General features: G+C 38.1%; 1 long non-coding RNA gene across 1 annotated transcript in view, besides 1 other annotated feature; it reads left to right on the plus strand.

Moving 5' to 3' along the window:
- LOC105370453 (uncharacterized) overlaps positions 1-18,100 on the plus strand; it is a 47,558-nt gene extending 29,458 nt beyond the window's left edge. Inside the window, exons 2-3 of the long non-coding RNA XR_001750715.2 lie at positions 6,286-6,467; positions 18,031-18,100. This is a non-coding gene — a long non-coding RNA (uncharacterized LOC105370453). The remainder of the gene's footprint in view (positions 1-6,285; positions 6,468-18,030) is intronic.
- Positions 2,363-2,519: a silencer, noted in NCBI's record as "fragment chr14:37025714-37025870 (GRCh37/hg19 assembly coordinates)". NCBI's record gives its function as "represses an EF-1alpha promoter that drives an FKBP-Casp9 reporter gene in an ReSE screen in HepG2 liver carcinoma cells {active_cell/tissue: HepG2}" and the evidence as "EXISTENCE:reporter gene assay evidence [ECO:0000049][PMID:32094911]".
- Positions 18,101-18,502: the final 402 nt, after the last annotated feature.

The following is an 18,502-nucleotide window of genomic DNA, read 5'->3' on the forward strand; positions in this document are numbered from 1 at the left end:
AGAAATAGCATTTCGGGATCACAGTGTTAAAAGGACAAAGAGGCAGTATCTCTCCTGTACTGTAACTGAATCCTCCCTTTATCCAGGTGGTATCCTGGGTGGATGATGACAATGTTCTTTGTGATCATATTCAGCTTATTTTTCCCTCACAACCAGCACGTTGTATCACTATATTTTAATAATTCATAGATATAATTTCAATTCTTCTCTTATTGAGAAAATCAGGGCTGGCAAATTTTAAGAAAGAGATATGGTTTAAAAAAAATCAGAAGGCCTTAATGCCATCCTCAACTCTACGCCTAACGAACTGAGAGCTCTAGAGAATGTTGTTGGACTTCTCTGGGCCTGCATTTGCTCCTGCATGAAATAAGTGGGCAATTAGATGTTCTCTAAGACCTCAAACACTTGAACCCATACCCACAGTGCAGCAGGACTGTTGTGTGTGCTCCTTGTAAGTAAAACTAATCTCTGACCCATCCAAGAGGTTCCAGTATGCTAGAGCATGTGGGAGGCTTCTGCCTCATGTCAAGACGTGCTCTAAAGTCACAGAATTGTGTTGCTCCAAAATGGCAGTGGTCAACACAATTGGCTGGCAGTTTAGACCACATTAGAAGATAATCGCTATTTTTAGTATAAATATTATTTTCCCTTTTATCTTAAGGGATAGTACCAATTCCATTCTTTATTGCTAATAAGTTACCAGTAGTATATCACTGCAGTGAGAATATTTCAAAATAACCCTGTAGCTTTATTCCAAAGACCTCAGTTATAGACTTACTCTCATTTTGTGGTCACTCCAAAAACAAAAACAAAAGCCTCCTTAGGCAGATCCCTCAATTATTCCTCTCTGTAAAACATCATTCCTTGAAATGGACATCACTCTTTTCATAAAAACGTGACATAGACTATATTCTATATTCAATACACTCTCATGGAACAAGTAAGATTTTTAATTATTTTGAAGAAAAAGATGAGCTTATTTTCAGTTTTCAGATTCCAGCTTTTCTCAACCTCTGGATGAAAATATTTTTACACCTGGAGTTTCTCTTGCAGTTAGCATTCATCCGTCAGTAAGTAGGCCAAATCCTTGTTCACTTGCAGGTAGTCCATGGCTTAACATGTCTGTAATTCACAGAAGGCTGAATATGGGGTAAATAAATAAAACTGAGCTTAAGGAGAAAAACTATGTGGGAGGAAGGAAGCGGATGATTAAAATGGAAATGGGTGGTCAGGAGCTTCGGTTATTCTCCCAGGTGCTTTGTTGGCAGAGATAAAAAAAACTTTTCTATCAAACCCCACCTGAATTCTTTCAACTACAATGATGCAAAGAAAATACACGCTAATTATGAGCAGGAACATTATCTATTAATATGTTAATGAAGCAGGTTTGCTAATGGTGAAAGACCTGAATTTTAATAAATTTTTAAGAGCTTCTTGATTACGTGTTTGTTAGTCGATATCATCATTTAAAATTATCTCTAGGTGGCTTTACATGGAATAAAACCTACATTAGAACTGTATTCTAAACAGGCCTTAATGAAGCAGGTGAGGATAGCATCTGTGACATGAACACTGTCAGCCAGAAATTCACTTCAAAAGAAATGTAAACTAGTTAGCAGGAAACATGTTATCATATCTGCCAGTATCAGCTTTCAATGTAGGTAATTTATTTATGCATTTACTTGCTAATTTTTTCAAACATATTTGCTTATGAAATAATGTTCGATTGAATTAATGGATACTGCCTTTCAATATTGGAAGTGTTATTTTTCATTAAAACAAAAACAACTCTAGTGTCCTGTTTTGACAACATCCCATACATAGATGAAAACTGTTTTATCCACCCAAACCCCATATTTTTTGAGAAAAAAATCACTAGAAATCCAAAAATCAAACCAGAATGAGTTTAGAAACCTCACTGATGTGTCTCTATGAATAGAAGAAATTGTGTCATCTTTTCTCCAAGATGACTGTGGCATCAAAGTGACTGTTAATCCCTATCTGCCTCTCTAGAACTTGGGTGAAGGCAGCTGGCATCCTCTTTCATTTTGCATATTAGAACCACGAGGCTCTGATTAGCAGCTGGGCCTGGATTGCAACTCAGAGCTCCTGAAGACAGAAAGACACTGAGGAGGCGGCATGGAGACTTGGGTGTAAAATGCCAGTGCTATGTGCCCCAAATGCTTGAGAGCTGCTGGGCTGGAGAGCCTGTGAAGCATTGTGTGCAGTGGGCCTCATCATATCATTGGGAGGATTTGGGGTCTGAAAGTGGGTGAGGCCTGTGTTTTCTCCATTATGTATGAGGCAGTGATGAAGGTGTTAGTGAAGGAAAGTGAAAGCTAATTCTAGAAACAAAAGAACAGTGGGTAAGAGCCCAGGCTCAAGTGCCTTAAGCGCCCTTAACCTAACGGGCCAGGAATGAAGGGACGTGAAGGAGGCAGGTGGGTGGGATGAGGAAGAGCAAGGACCTCTAGCTCTCACCTTGTCACTTCTGAGCTCTGAGGAGAGTTGGAAGAGGAGAGGTTGTGGCAGAAAATCACTTTCAAAGGAGCGGCCTCATGTGGGAAACCAGCAGGGGCTTCCTCCTGAGTAGAGGTCCTTCCACAAAGGCGATGCCTGGTCACCAGGTTTCTTAATTTCCTGGGCACTTTATTTATTTGACAGTCTCAATAAAACATGCTTCTGAGGGAGTCATTAGAAAGTGCAGGTAACACTCCCTTAAATTCTGGATAGTGTGCCTAATGAGTTTCAAGGGTTATTTTTAAAGTCGATGAGAAATAATTCAATTGAAGGTAATTGGCCATTTAGATGGATTCTAATTGGGCCCTGGGTGAATTTCTTTGGGGGCATGCTGCCCTCTAGGGGTGGAGGCACAGTGCTCGGAGGGAAGGAAGTGTTTTGAGTTTTCATAAAAATGGTTCAATCTTTCGATATAAAGTATCACTATTCTAAAGGCCTTAAAGCAATATCAGATCGATATACTCTTTTTCCCTTTATTTCTTTTTCTTTTCTCTCTTTTTAAGATTTGCTGTATGTCATGAAGTGGGGTCAGAACAGAGAGAAAATGTGCAGGCATATTAAAAACTCTAATCGCCCATTTTCTCATTATTCAGTGCAAGTCTCTTAACCTTTTACTGGGTGGCTACTTTGTGTGGGCCCTCCCGCATGCATGCCTTTTCAGAGTAAGGCATTTAATTTTTGCCTCAATTTTACTGACATATTAAAGACCGCGAAGCCAGGCAACTGCAGAACCTCTATTTGAACCCGTGTTTTCTTATTCCAGAATCAGTGCACCTTCAATTTTGCCACCAGCAAAACACAACTGGCTTTCCCTTAGCTTTTCAAACAACTGGTTATTGGACTGTTTTATGCTTCCAACTTTCTACAGTAATCACGAATTGAGTTTTTATTTTAATAAAGGAAAAGACTTATAGATAAATATTTGACAACCATACATTTTATCATTTGGCAACACTTTTATTCAAAACTTCAATTTTGCTAACACACGTAGAGAGAAAAACAAATACGAAAATTCGTGTCATACTACAGGCCAAGAGCCAGAGAGAAATTTAAGTTCTAAAGGTTCAGGGACTAGGCCAGAAAAACTTATAATAATAGGAACTAAAACTGGAGATACAGGGTAGGCTGTAAGAAAACCAGCATTAAATAATTAAACAGTAAAATTCTGATCTCCTGCAGCTGTGGTGCTTAATACACCATAGGAGGACAGATGAGAGAATCTTAGACCTTTCCAGGTAGGACCTGTGTTCCATGCCCGGAGGGTGCTCCCAGCTAGAACACTTGTCCTTTCCCCTCCGCCCCACCCCCAGCCCACACTAAACAACATCAGCAACAAAAATAAGGAGCACACAACCTAGATCCCTCACATGCACAGTTCACAGTAGGATTCATGCCCCTGTGAGAATCAAATGCTGCTGCTTATCTGACAGGAGGTGGAGCTCAGGCGGTAATGCCAGCGATGGGGATCAGCTGTAAATACCGATGAAGCTTCACTCACTCACCTGCCCGCTGCTCACCTCCTGCTGTGCGGCCCAGTTCCTAATAGACCATGGACTGGTACTGGTCTGGGGCCTGGGGGTTGGGGACCCCTGCCCTAACTTTTAGCAAGTGCTTGCCTAAACTACAGTCACTTAAATCTGCCTTTAACTTGATATCTATTATTCCTATCTCTGGCTGGTGCTGGCAGATTTGATATCAAGAATTTATAGTCAAATATATTTCCCAAATTCTGGTTAGTAACACATAATAACAAGGAAGAGGCCTACCATTCCCAGTGACCACCCCCATATACCATCCAGAGTGCATGCACACCAGCTTGATTGCTTTTCTGATGAGGGAACTGATGTTATCAGCGATGTTCACAATTTCTGAAAACATTTTCTTGAAATGGGCAAAGCAATGCTGACAAGGTTCCAAACAAGAGAAATCTAAAAGTGTAGAGTCCCCTCCTTTTACAAAAGGAACTGCTAGAGGAAGAAAAACATCTGTCATTTAATGTTTAAAGTTGCCTTGGAAAAAGTAGCCTGGATATACCCCTGTCTTTTAAACAAACTCAGTATACAACAATCTGCTAATGTGTGTGAGGGGTGAGTGTGTGAGTGTGTGTGTGTGTGTGTGAGAGAGAGAGAGAGAGTTGGATCTCTTGATCTCTTCCTCTGCTGTCTAACCTAATATGTCCTACTGTAATTTTAGGCTAGTTTCTCTAGTCTAGACCTCAATCAAAATGTACTAGAGCTATTCAGCACCTCCAGAGTTTCTTCCCCATCTCTTCTTCCTTTGTAGATGTGTGAGTAACTTCCTTTCCTATACAGAGGTTTCTTTAGCATTTGGAGATTTCTTTCTCAAATATTTTAAAAATTTCATTCTTTCTCTGGAAAAGATGGCTTTAGCTATAGGTTCAGAAAAATGGACACGTAATATTTGTCACCTCTGTTAATGCTGAAAATGAAAATAAATATCACAATGTTTATAAAGTGTTATTGCTTTTTTTTTTTTTTTTTTTTAGACGGAGGCTCGCTCTATTACCGGGCTAGAGTGCGGTGGTGTGATCTTGGCTCACTGCAACCTCTGACTCTGTGGTTCAAGTGATTCTCCTGCCTCAACCTCCAAGTAGCTGGGATTACAGGCACGTGCCACTATGCCCAGCTAATTTTTGTATTTTTAGTAGAGATGGGGTTTCACCATGTTGGCCAGGATGGTCTCAGTCTCCCGACCTCGTGATCCGCCTGCCTTGGCCTCCCAAAGTTCTGGGATTACAGGTGTAAGCCACCGTGCCCGGCATATATTTTCTTAATAACACTGGATTTCTTGTGACTCACCTTCTTTTGTTATATGCAGTCATCCCTGTCCTGATTTTAAACAAATTTAAGATCAGAGCACTCACTGTTACTGATGGGTGTGTTAACTTTTTTGGGCATAAAGAACTAAATGACCCAGAGTGAACTTACTGAGGAAAAATTTCCCAACAAAATGCTATATTTCCTCTTCTCTCTTCCCTGGAGACTAGTTTGGTTCTCATTCAGTGTCAGGAATGGTTTACGGCCTCCCCAACCTAGCCCCAACCGCAGTTATCCCAGCAGAAAGAGTGTTAGAAGCCCGAGGCACTTCTCAGATCAGTGTCAGCTCAGGCCCCTCTGGGAACACCTAAATCCCACCCAGGCCTAGTCCTATAGCACTGCTACTTCATTCATTTACATGCATTTTAGATATGTTTCCTGAAAGACCGCCATGGGCCGTGCACTGTACTAGGTGCTGCAAATACAGAGGTGAACACGACTTATATGGGCGCTGTCCTCACAGCAACTGACAGAAGTAAATAGGCAATTAGAGAAGTGTGGTTAGAGCCATGATGGGGAAGCAGAGTGCTGTGTGAAGATTCAGTGGGTCCCTTGAGCCGGCCTGGATTGGAGGACGGTCAAGAAAAACCTCTCTGAGGACAATATGCTTGAGTCAATTTCTGAAGGATTCTTCGAAGTTAGAACAAAAGGGAACAAGTATGAAGAAAGAAAAAGGAGATCGATGTTTTTAAAGAACTGGGGAAATTCAGTATAGCTGATTACATTGTGTGTTTGGTGGGGGACAGGATTTGGTGCATGTAGGGCACTGAGGGGGAGTGACTTATGGCAAGAAATGAGACTAAATATTAGCTGAATCCCATGTTAGGAAGTTTCAACTTGATTCTATGAATAATGGGTAGCCACTGCAGAGTGTAAGTGGATGAGCAATATGATCAGGCATACATTATAAACATTACCATGATTACAGTGTGAAGAGGAAAAGTAAAACCAGCAGCAAGAAGACTGTAGAGATCCAGCTGTGAGAAGACAGCGGCCCATTCACTACAGTGGCTCTGGGTTCTGGCCTCTGGACTCATGACTGGACCAAGCCCTCCAGGAATCACTTTGTCTCCCCTCTCTCATTCCCTGATGAAGACAAGTCTCTGTGAGGTTGGTCAGTTTGTTATAGTTGTGTATCAGTCATGTTTTTTTTTCTGCATTTTATGATGCTTTGACAACTTGGGACCTGCCCCTCCCAGGGTTAATTAATTTCTGAGATAGCAAACAACTTGCCTGTGAGCATGCCTTTCGTATGCAAACTAACTAGTCCAGAACTCTTACTTCAAACCATCTCTAGCTGGTTTTTACACTTCAGAAGGCAATATTCCTCTGCTCTAATCATTCCAGGGCCATGCAGTGGACAACTGAGGACCACCCCAATAGCCCAGAGCCCATAGAAATTATTCAAACCATCCAATCCTACCCCTGCTTTGCTCCTTACCCTTTCTCTCCCATCCTTTCCCATGACAACCACAATCAAGGCTTCTGCCCGTGCTTTCCCTTTTCTCTTTCTGCCTCTCCTCTGACCCACATTTCGAAATCTATGTGTCCCTGTGTGGTACTGCAAGCTCCCTCCTCCTGAGAACTGTGAGAAACAGACTACCTTTTCAGTGGCAACTGTCTCCTCATGTGTTGGCCTCACCATACCTGAATAAAAACAATATCCCAGGTGCATTTCCAAACAAGTGCATTTCACTTAGGTAAGCTCCACGCTGTCTATGAAACTTTTAAGAATTCATGACTAATTTTATTTAAAGTGCTAAACAGTACTCAATGGTCTTGAAGTGTCCAAAATGAAAAATAAAATAAAATAAAAATAAAGTGCTAAATAGGTTTACTCAGTGCTCTTACATGTCATTCTACTTCTGCCATCTGTATAGTTTTATGAGTTCTGAAGGAGAGTTAACTGTCTTTTGTGAATCTTAAATACAGGCAATATTAGATTTAGCAATCTGGAGATCATTGGTGGCCTTCATGCAAAGAGTTTCAGCAGAATGGTGGGGCAAAATCTAACCGAGGGACTTCTCCTTTGACCAAGGAGAATTAGCAGTAATAGGAATCACTCTTCAATTATAAACAACTCGAAAGCTTGATGAAAATAGATGAAATAATCATTTTCAGATGTTGGACAATAGGCAGCATAGGACTGATCACTGAGAGAAGGGAAAAAAAGAGATGCACTTTAGGATGTCCTAGCTTACTACTGAGAGCCAGTGTTTAGCCACAGCGCAGGCAGGAGAACATAAAGAACCTGACATGCCTGCTGAGCTAAAGAGATCAAGATCAGGTCTGAGGATACCAAAATGGCTAGAACTTATAAGGCAGAGTACCAAAAAAGAGTGTTGCACAGAGAAAAATCTCTGAAGATCTGAAGAGGAGTCCCTTTGAGACTTTGGCTGAGTATTAATCTGAACATACATAAGAGAAAACACCCCCTGGCTGGGAAAAGGCTTCCCAGAACAATTCTGAAGATCACACAGAATTGGAAGGCATTCATGTTCCCACTAACCAAAATAAAGAGACTCCATACAATAGTTAGCACCCCCAGAAGGCTCATGCCTAGTGAGGGAACTCAATTAGTCCCAAAATAAAGGTTTCTCTGGACCCATTCTAAAAAAAAAACTTAAAATCCAACCTTAAATGATACTGAAGTACCTTAACTGGATGCCAGGAAAAACAAAACCACAACAACAACAAAAAACCTCTACAATCTTTAAAGGAATACATTAAAGCCAGTAGCAAAGAAAGCAAAATTTACAATTTTGTATCCAATTAAAAATTACCAGGTCTTAAAAGATGCAGAAAAATATTACCCATAACCAGAATAAAAAGCAATTAACAGAAACAGACCCAGAAAAGCCATACATCATGGAATTCATAGACAAGAACCTTAAAACAAGTACCACAATCTTATAAATATGGTCAAGATGTAAAGGGAAACATAAACTTGATGAGGAGAAAAATGGAAGATTTAAAAAGAGCCAAATAAAACTTCTAGAGGTAAAACATGCCATACCAGGAAAGAAAACTGAACTTGAAGACACTGCTATAGAAACTAACCAACATGAAGCACAAAGAGAAAATGATACTGAAAAAAAAATGGCACAAGATCTTAGTGAGTTGTGGGACTAATCAAAGTGTCTCATATTCATTTAACTGGAGTCCTAGCAGGAGAGAAGACTTGGGGAAGAGAAGTGGACATAAAATGTAATTGAAGAAATAATGGCCCCCAAAATCCAAATTTGTTGAAATTAAAAAAAACATAGATCCAAAAACCCCAAGCGGAATAAATATAAACTAAACCTCTTTAGGCACTTCATAATCAAGTTATTGAAATCCATTAATAATGAGAAAACATTTTAAAGCAGTCAGGGGAAAGAGATACACCACATAAAGAGAAACAAAGATAAAAAATGACAGCTGACTTACCAGAAACCACACAGGTCAGAAGACAACAGAACGTCTTTAAAGTGCTGACAGAAAAATAAAATAAAATAAATTGTTGGCCCAGAATAGTACACCCATGAAAATATATCTTTCAAAAATCAAGGTGAAAGAAAACCATTTTAAGATCAACAAGAGGGGAGGAGTTGCTATTCGACAATTATAAAATTTCAGTTCTGTAAGTTGGTTAAGTTCTATAAAACTATTGTCCAATCTGTAGTTAATGATACTGTATTGTACACTTAAAAGTTTGTTAAGAGGGTAGCTCTTACGTTAAGTGTTCTTACCACAATTTTTTAAAAAAGAACAACGATAACAAAAGCTTAGAAAGTTAATTGCCAGTAGCCCTATACAACAAGAAATAAAGGATTCCTGGATCTACACAAAGAAATAAGTGCCAGAAATGGTAAACATGTGAATACATATAAAAGTTTTTTCTGATTTAGAAAATGTTTTTAAAAGGTAATCGACTATAAGCAAAACTAACAACTCTGTATTATAAGGTTTACAGCATACACAGAAGCAAAATATCTGAGAACAATAGCACAAAGGAATGAGGGGGAATTTGGAAGGATGCCTTTGTAAGGTTCTTAAACTATACATGAAATGGTATAATATTTTTTGAAAGTAGACTGTGATAAGTTAAAGATGTATACTGTACACCCTAGAGCAGCTATTAATTTTTTGAAAAACAAAACAAGTATAGCTAGTAAACCAAATGTGCAGATAAAATCATTAGGGAAATGCAAATCAAAATCACAATGACGGACTGAGCATGGTGGCTCATGCCTATAATCCCAGCATTGTGGAAAGCCAAGGCAGGGGGAATCACTTGAGGCCAGGAGTTTGAGACCAGCCTGGGCGACACAGTGCCTCGTCTCTACAAAAGATTTTAAAATTAGCCAGGCATCGTGGCATGTACCTGTATTCTAGCTACTCAGGAGGCTGAGGTGGGAGGATCAATTGAGCCCAGGAATTTAAGGCTGCATTGATCTATGATTATGCCACTGCACTCCAGCCTAGATGACAGAGCAAGTCTCTATCTTAAAAAAAAAAATCACATGAGCTATTACCTCACACCTGTTAGGATAGCTATTATCAAAAAGATGAAAAATAAAAAGTGCTGGAGAGGATATGGAGAAAAGACAATGCTTGTGCACTGTTAGTAGGTATGTAAATTGGCACAGTCATTATGGAAAACAGTAGAAAGATTTCTCAAAAAGTTAAACATAGAACTAGCATATATATAGCAATCCCACTCTTGGTATATGTCTGAAGGAAATGCAAGCAGTATTTTGAAGAAATATCTGCACCCTTGTGTTCACTGCAGCATTATTTAAAATAGTCAAGATATATAAACACCCTAAATGCCCATCCATGGGTGAATGGATAAAGAATATGTTTTATAGAGAGAATGGAATGTTTATTCAGCCATAAACATGAAGGAAATCCTGCCATACACAACACAGATGAAACTGGAGATCATAATGCTAAGTGAAATAAGCCAGGTAGAGAAAGACAAATACTGTATGATCTCACTTATATATGGAATCTAAAAAAGTCAAATTCATAAAATCAGAGTAGAAATGTAGTTGTCAGGGGTTGGGAGTGAAGGAAATGGGGAAATGTCAGTCAAAGGGTAAAAACTTTCAGATTTAAGATGAATAGGTTCAGAGATCCAACAAAGAGCATGGTAACTGTGGTTAATAACACTGTATTGATTAATTGCAATTTGCTAAGAAAGTAGATCTTAAGTGTTCTCAACACACACACAAACTTAACTATGTGGAGTAATACGTGTGTTAAGTTGATTGTGGTGATCATCTCGCAATATACATGTAAAAGAAATCATCATGTTGTATACTTTAAACATATACAATTTTATTTGTCAATTACACTGCAATAGAATTGGAAAAAGTAAAAAATAAATAGTGGGGATAAAAATAGATAATTTTAAAAATCCTTGTTTAATCCAAAGGAAGCAGGATAAAAGGAAAAATAAACAGAAGAGACAAACAGGAAACAAACAGCAAGATGGTAGAGTTAAACCCAACCATACATACAACAATTACATTAATATAAATGTTCTAATCACTCCAATTACAAGGCAGAGATTATGATATTAAATAAAATATATACTAACCCAATTACACATTGTATACAAGAAAATCACTTTAAAAATCAATTTTTAACATATTAATCTATGTAAAAGCACACAGATTAAAGTAAAAAGGATGGAAAATATATAACATGTAAAACACTGATGAAAAAAAGAGTAGCTATATTATCTCCGAAAAGACTTCCGAACAGAGAATATTACTGAGGATAAAGAAGGGCATTTGATAATATTAAAGGGATCAATTAATCAAAAGGATATAACAATCCAAAATTTATATGCACTTAATAATAGAGCTTCAAAATAAATGAGTCAAAAAATGATAGAACTGAAAGGAAAAATACATCAATCCACAATTTTAATTGGATATTTCAACATTCCTCTGTCAGTAATAGATAGAACAAGTAAAAATAATTTTTTAGAACAAAGACAGAAGACCAGAATAACATTATCAACCAACTTGACTTATTTGACATTTATAGAACTCTCTATTCAATTACAACAGAATATACATTCTTTTCCAGGGCACGTGAAACATTTACTAACAGAGACTATATGCGCAGGCATTAAACAAATTCAATATGTTAAAAAGAACTGAAATCATGTAGAGCACATTCTCCTTTTTCTTTTTTTTGATACAGGGTCTCACTCACTGTTGCCCAGGCTAGAGTACAGTGGCACAATCTCCGCTCACTGCAGCCTCAACCTCCCGGGCTCAGGTGATCCTCCTCAAGTAGCTGAGACTACAGGCATGCGCCACCACACCTGGCTAATTTTTTGTACTTTTTGTAGAGACGGGTTTTGCCATGTTGCCCAGTCTGATCTCAGACTCCTAGGCTCAAGTAATCAGCCTGCCTCCACTTCCCAAAGTGCTGGGACTACAGGCCTAAGCCACCACGCCTGGCCTAGAACACATTCTTTGACCACAATGGAGTTAAAGTAGAAATAAAGAAGAAAAATATATTTGAAAAAAATCCTAAAATATTTGGAAATTAAAAATATACTTTAAAATAACCCATGGGTCAAAAAATAAACTGTAAGAGAAATTAGAAATAATTTGAAGTAAAGGAAAAGGAAACACAGTGTATCAAAATGTGTGGGATGCAACAAAAACAATGTTTAGAAAAAACTTAACAGTAATAAATGCTTATGTTAAAAAATAAGAAAGGCCTAAAATCAATAATCTAACTTTCTACCTAAAACTAGGGAAAAAGACCAAATTAAATGCAAAGTAAGTGGAAAGAATGAAAAATGAAGATATGACTGCAAATCAATGTAGAATAAAAAACAAAAATAAATAAAACAAAAAATTTGTTCTTTAAAAAGATAACTGAATTTGATAAAAGTATAGCCAGATTGGTCAAGAGAGAAAGAGACAGGCAAAAATTATGAATGTGAGGAATAAAAAGGGGGGGTTCACACAGATCCTAAGACATTGTAATGATAATAAGGGAATGTTATGAAAAAAATGTATGCCAATATATTTGATAACTTAGTTTTAATGAAAAAATTGCTTTAAACACACAAACTACCAGTCTTACTCAAGACTGGATATGGATAACCTGAATAGCTCTATATCTATTAAAGAGGTTGAATTCATAGTTTAGCACCTTCCCACAAAGAAAATACCAGACTCATGTGGTATTACTGGTCAACAGAACTAAACAAAGAGAAGAAATAGTACCAATTCTACTAAAACTTTTTCAGAAAATAGAAGAAGAAGGAACAATTTCCAAGTCATTTTATGAGACAAGCATTAATCCCAGTACCAAAAACAGATAAAGATATTTTATTTTATTTCATTTCGTTATTTTTTGAGACATAGTCTCATTCTGTTGGCTAGGCTGGAATACAGCAGTGCAAACTCAGCTCACTGCAATTTCTGCCTCCCAGGTTCACGTGCTTCTTATGTCTCAGCCTCCCCAGCAGCTGGCATTACAGGTGCGCGCCACCATACCAAGCTAATTTTTGTATTTTTAGTAGAAATAGGGTTTTTCCCTGTTGCCAGGCTGGTCTCAAACTCCTGGCCACAAGTGATCCACTTGCCTTGGCCTTCCAAAGTGCTGGGATTACAGGTGTGAGCCACAATGTCTGGCAAAAATCAGATAAAGATATTTAAAAAGATAAAAACGAAAACCCTGCAGACCAGTATCCCTCATGAATATGTGGAAAACTCCTTTATAAACCTTTGAGAAAATTGAATCCAGAAACACATATTTTTAAAAAATCACAGTAAAGTGAGGATTTATACCAAGAATGTGAAGTTGGTTTAACATTCAAAAATCACAAAAAATTTTAGGTTCTTATACCACAATTTTTTTTATAAAAACAGAAAAAGTCTATGTAATCCATCATGTTAATAGACTAAAATAAGAATTGAATCAGTAGATGCAGTAGATGCAGAATCAGTAGATGCAGAAAAATCATATAAGAAAACACAACATTTTTTCACAGAATACAGGAGAACTTTCTCAACTTTATAAAGGGCATAAAAAAAATATTGGCCAGGCATGGTGGCTCATGACTGTAATCCCAGCACTTTGGGAGGCCAAGGTGGGAAGATTGCTTGGGTCAAGGAGTTTAAGACCAGCCTGGGCAACATAGTGAAACTCCATCTCTACAAAAAATAAAAATATTAGCCAGGCATGGTGGCATGTGCCTGTGATCCCAGCTACTTGGGAGGCTGAGGTGGGAGGATCACTTGAGCCCAGGAAGTTCAGGCTGCACTCCGCAGTGATCACGCCACTGCATTACAGTTTGAGTGACAGAGCAAGACCCTGTCTCAAAAAAAAAAAAAAAAAAAATCTTACAGCTAACATCGTACTTATTGATGAAAGACTCACTGCATTCCCCCTAAAATCAGAAACAAGGCAAGGATTCCATTTCAGTCCTTTTGCTTAACATTGCAGTAGAGGTTGTAGGCAATGTAATAATGCATAAATAAAAATAAAAGGCATACAGAAGAAAATAAGAAGTAAAACTGCCATTATTTGCAGATAACAGAATATCCTAAGGTATATATAAAATTAAGAGAAATAATAAGTAAATTCAGCAAGGTTGCAATATGCAAAATCAATATACAACACCTAATTGTATTTTATATACCAGTAATGAGCAATTAGAAATTAAATTTTTTAATACCATTATAAAAACGCCAAAAACATAAAATGATGGCTGGACACGGTGGCTCACGCCTGTAATCCCAGCACTTCGGGAGGCCAAGGTAGGTGGATCACAAGGTCAAGAGATTGAGACCATCCTGGCCAACATGGTGAAACCCCATTCTTTCTATAGTTTTATTATAGTCTACCTCAATGATGACTATATTTTAAAAAATGGAAGGGAGAAATTGAAGACTGAGTACAGACAAAAGAATTTAAAGAGTTTTGCTAAGGGGATGATAGTTGGCAAGGAAGGCGGGTCAAGAGAAAATAGTTTTATTTTTAAGATGGGGGAATGGCAGCATGTTTGTATGCTGATAGGAATGAGGCAGTAGATGAAAAATGATAATAAAGAAGCAAGAGAGCAGTATTGCTAGAGTGACATCCTTGGAGTAGCCAGGAGCAGGGACCACTCATCTGTAGTAACAGCTGGGAAGACAGAGTGTAATAGAACACTTGCCATGAAGACAGTAATGTGGTGGGAGGAGCCTTGAGTGTTTGTTCTCTCTTCTGGTTGCTTCAGTTTTCACAGTGAGGTAGAAATCTGAATGCAAGGATGGGAGAGGAGGCAGTTGAGAAAAATAAAATCGTGTGAAATAGCCAAGAAGCATAGTGGGAGAATGAATGGTCTGAAAACAACTAGCATGATGACCTGCCAACATTAAGGACCCATTTGAAGTTGGTGGTCATAACTTTAACATGAGACCAGTCAATAAGGTCGTGCATTTTTCTCCAGCTGCCTGGTTGCAGGTGCAAAATGGTATAGCCAATTTGGAAAATAGTTGGGAAGTTTGTTTTACAGTTAAATGTTTACTTATTATACATTTCATTCTGGGACCCAAAGAGAAGGAACAATTCCCCATATAGGACATTTCCGTCTTGTGGCAGAGAGGAAAGAGATCATGGCAGAACCACAAGATGGCCGTTAAAGCTTCTGAATGCAAAGGGTGTGTCTCACTTCTCACATTTCATTGGCTAAAGCAAAGCCACATGATCAAGCTTAATAGACATGTCAGAGAGGGGCATTGGAGAGTAGCTGAGTGCAGGTACACAGTAGATGAGAATTAGATTTAACAAGAGTTATAGTTTTGTCACAAGTACAATAAAGTGAGGGGGAATGGGGGTTGAGGGTATGTGCAAGGGAGTAATAATGATTTGTTGTGAAACTTAAGTTGGGTAAGGTAGGAAGTGAGAGCATCAAAGGACTGGGAGATAGTGAAAGATGGAAGGACTAATGGTTTGGAATCAAAAGCCCTAGAGATGTATATACACCACTTCAGCCAACAATCCACACTTAGAAATTTATCCTTAAGAAATATTGATGCAGATGCTCAACACCTATAAGAAAGTTCATTTCAGTGTTTTATGTAACAATAAAAATTATATAAAATACAATTATATAAATACTCATCAATTGACAATTGGATAAAAAATAATTGTGGGCCTAAGACCGGGCGCAGTGGCTTATGCTTGTAATCCCAGCACTTTGGGAGGCCAAGGCGGGCAGATCATGAGGTCAGGAGTTTGAGACCATCCTGGCCAACATTGTGAAACCCTGTCTCTACTAAAAATACAAAAATTAGCCGGATATGGTGGCGTGTGCCTGTAGTCCCAGCTACTCGGGAGGCTGGGAGAGGAGAATTGCTTGAACCCGGGAGGCAGAGGTTGCAGTGAACTGAGATGGCACCACTGCACTCCAGCCTGGGCAACAGAGCGAGACTCCATCTCAAAAAAAAAAAAAAAAAATTGTGGGCCTAAATTAAAAACAAGTTTTGTGTGGTTGTGTGTTTATCTCTGTCAGGTAATATGCCAGGCTATGCTGTGGATTTATCTGGAAACTAGACTGACAAATTTATCTGCTGTTTTTTGAATTACTGTTGTTTGTCCTTGCATTGTTCTGATACCCATATCATAACATAAGTTGACTGTCTAGAATGATTAAGTAATAAAACAAATGAGAATGCAATTGGGTCCTTGCAGTGGTTTTTATCATCCTACAGATGAGTCATGATAGAATAGTCTCCACAGGAACAGCCCTCAAATTAGGCAGGTAAACACAGTGCCTTTCCTCATTCCTAATGACTGTGTTCTGGAGCCATTCGACCTGCCTGTAAAATTGAGTGATGAACACTCTCCCAAATGTCACCAAGAGCCTGTGGTGTAGATGTTGCTCAAGGTAGTGGGAAAAGACATAGTTCCCGAATTCTTCTGGAGTCTATAGTGTAAAGTATATCATGCATGTAGTATATGCTTTATAGTGTGAAATATCACATTGCCATAGTTCTTCTTCTGGAAGTTTAGAAGATAATTAACATTGCAAACATGCATAATATTTGGCTATAAATTAAACATTTAAGAAAAATACAAATGTCATAGAGTGTATTATTTTTCAAAGTCTTATCTGTAATACCCCTCCCTGTCATGCTGATCTCAAGTTTGATCATGTGGCTTTGCTTTAGCCAATGAAATGTGAGAAGTGATACATGCCCTTTTCAATCAAAAGCTTTAACAGCCATCTCATGGTTCTGCCATGTTCTCTTTCCTTTCTGCCATAAGACTGAAATGTCCTATATAAGGAATTGCTTCTTCTGTTCAGTTCCTAGAATAAAAACAAAATGGAGCAAGGCTGCAGGGACATGGAACATAAATAAGAAACAAACCTTTGTAGTTAAACCACTGTTGTGTTAGGGTTGTATGTTTCTACAAAACCTAGTCCAGGCTGACTCTGTAATCAAGTAAACAAATTGAATATTATATTGGATATATGTAAAAGATATGCATTCTATAGAATGGAGTAGGGACTACATTTGTTCAGTGCCAAGTATCAGATACTATACATGTATACATGCATTTAATATGGGTATTAACCATATGTGGTAGATGACATTATCTCTAGATTAAGTTTGAAGACACTGAGACTAAAAGTAATTGCACACAATCAGTGTGACAGCCAACATGAAATTTTTTACTTCAGAATCAAGGCTTCATTAATGCCCAAGTCCATGCTCTATCCACTCTATCACACTGCCTTTGGAGTGAAAGAGTTTTGAATTTAGTTGCAGCTTTAGACCAGATAGACCTAACAAGAATTCTTCTCTTTCAATTCATTAGGGAAAGCTTTATGGACAAAGTAGAAGTTCTGAAACTGAAACCACTTGAAGAAAAGAGTCTGGTGACTTATAGAGGAGAACATTTTCTAGCAAAACGTATAGTCTAAAAAAAGTTCCAGGGCAAAAGTGTGATGACTGGATGATGAAAGCACAGTGGACTTCCCTGAGATGACCTGAGGGTTCCAAGGTCATCAGCGTGTAATCAAACGTGGGAATCGAGGAGGTCTTGGTGAGGACCTCCTAGAACCAGGATGAAGGAAAGTCTCGAGCAAGAGCCATGAGGTTATGAGAAAGTATCAGCTGGATAGAGCAGCCATAGATAGCTATGTTCATAAAGTTAAGGGTCAACAGAATGATTAAGAGAGTTAATTTGAATTTTTTTGGTAGACATTTTGGCTTTTTTAAAAAAAAATGAAATGATGAACTACTTTTTTCATTTAAATGACAAATATAGATTGTATACATCCAAGGTGTACAATGTGATGATTTGATATGGGTACACTGTGTAATGATTACCATAGTCAAATTAATTTACATACCCATCACCACCCATGCTGTATCTTAGAACTTGTTCATCTTATAACTGAAAGTTTGTGGCCTTTTACTAACATTTCTCCATAGTCCCCACCTTTGCTCTTCTACTCTGTTTCTGTGTGTTTGAGACATTTTTAGATTCCACATATAAGTGAGGTCATACAGCATTTGTCTTTCTCTGCCTGGAGTATTTTACTTAGCATAATGTTATCCAGTTTCATCCATGTTGTCCCACATGGCAGAATTTCCTTCTTTTGTGGTGAAATAATATTCCATTAAAATATTACATTTCCTTTATCCATTCATAGGTTGTTGCCGCCTCCTAGCTATTATGAATAATAATGCAATGAACATGAAGATACAGATGTCTTTTCAAGGTACTGATTTCATTTCCTTTGGATGTATACCCAGCAGTGGGATTGCTGATCATATGGTAGTTCTATTTTTAATTTTTGAGGCACCTTCATACTGTTCTTAATGGTCATAGCAATTCACATTCCCAGCAAGAGTGCACTAGGATTCCCTTTTCTTTTCATCCTAGCCTACACTTATTGCTTGACTTTTTGCTAACAGCCATCCTAATAGGCATGAGGTGATATCTCATTGTGGTTTTTATTTGAATTTCTCTGATGATCATTGATATTGAGCACCTTTCCATGTATCTTTTGGCCATCTGTATGTTCTTTTTTTGAGGAATATCTATTCAGATTTTTTGCTTTTTTTTTTTTTTTTTGAGACAGAGTCTCACTCTGTCACCCAGGCTGGAGTGCAGTGACACGA

The sequence above is a fragment of the Homo sapiens genome, chromosome 14, assembly GCF_000001405.40.
Source record: "Homo sapiens chromosome 14, GRCh38.p14 Primary Assembly".
Classification (NCBI taxonomy): Eukaryota; Metazoa; Chordata; class Mammalia; order Primates; family Hominidae; genus Homo; species Homo sapiens.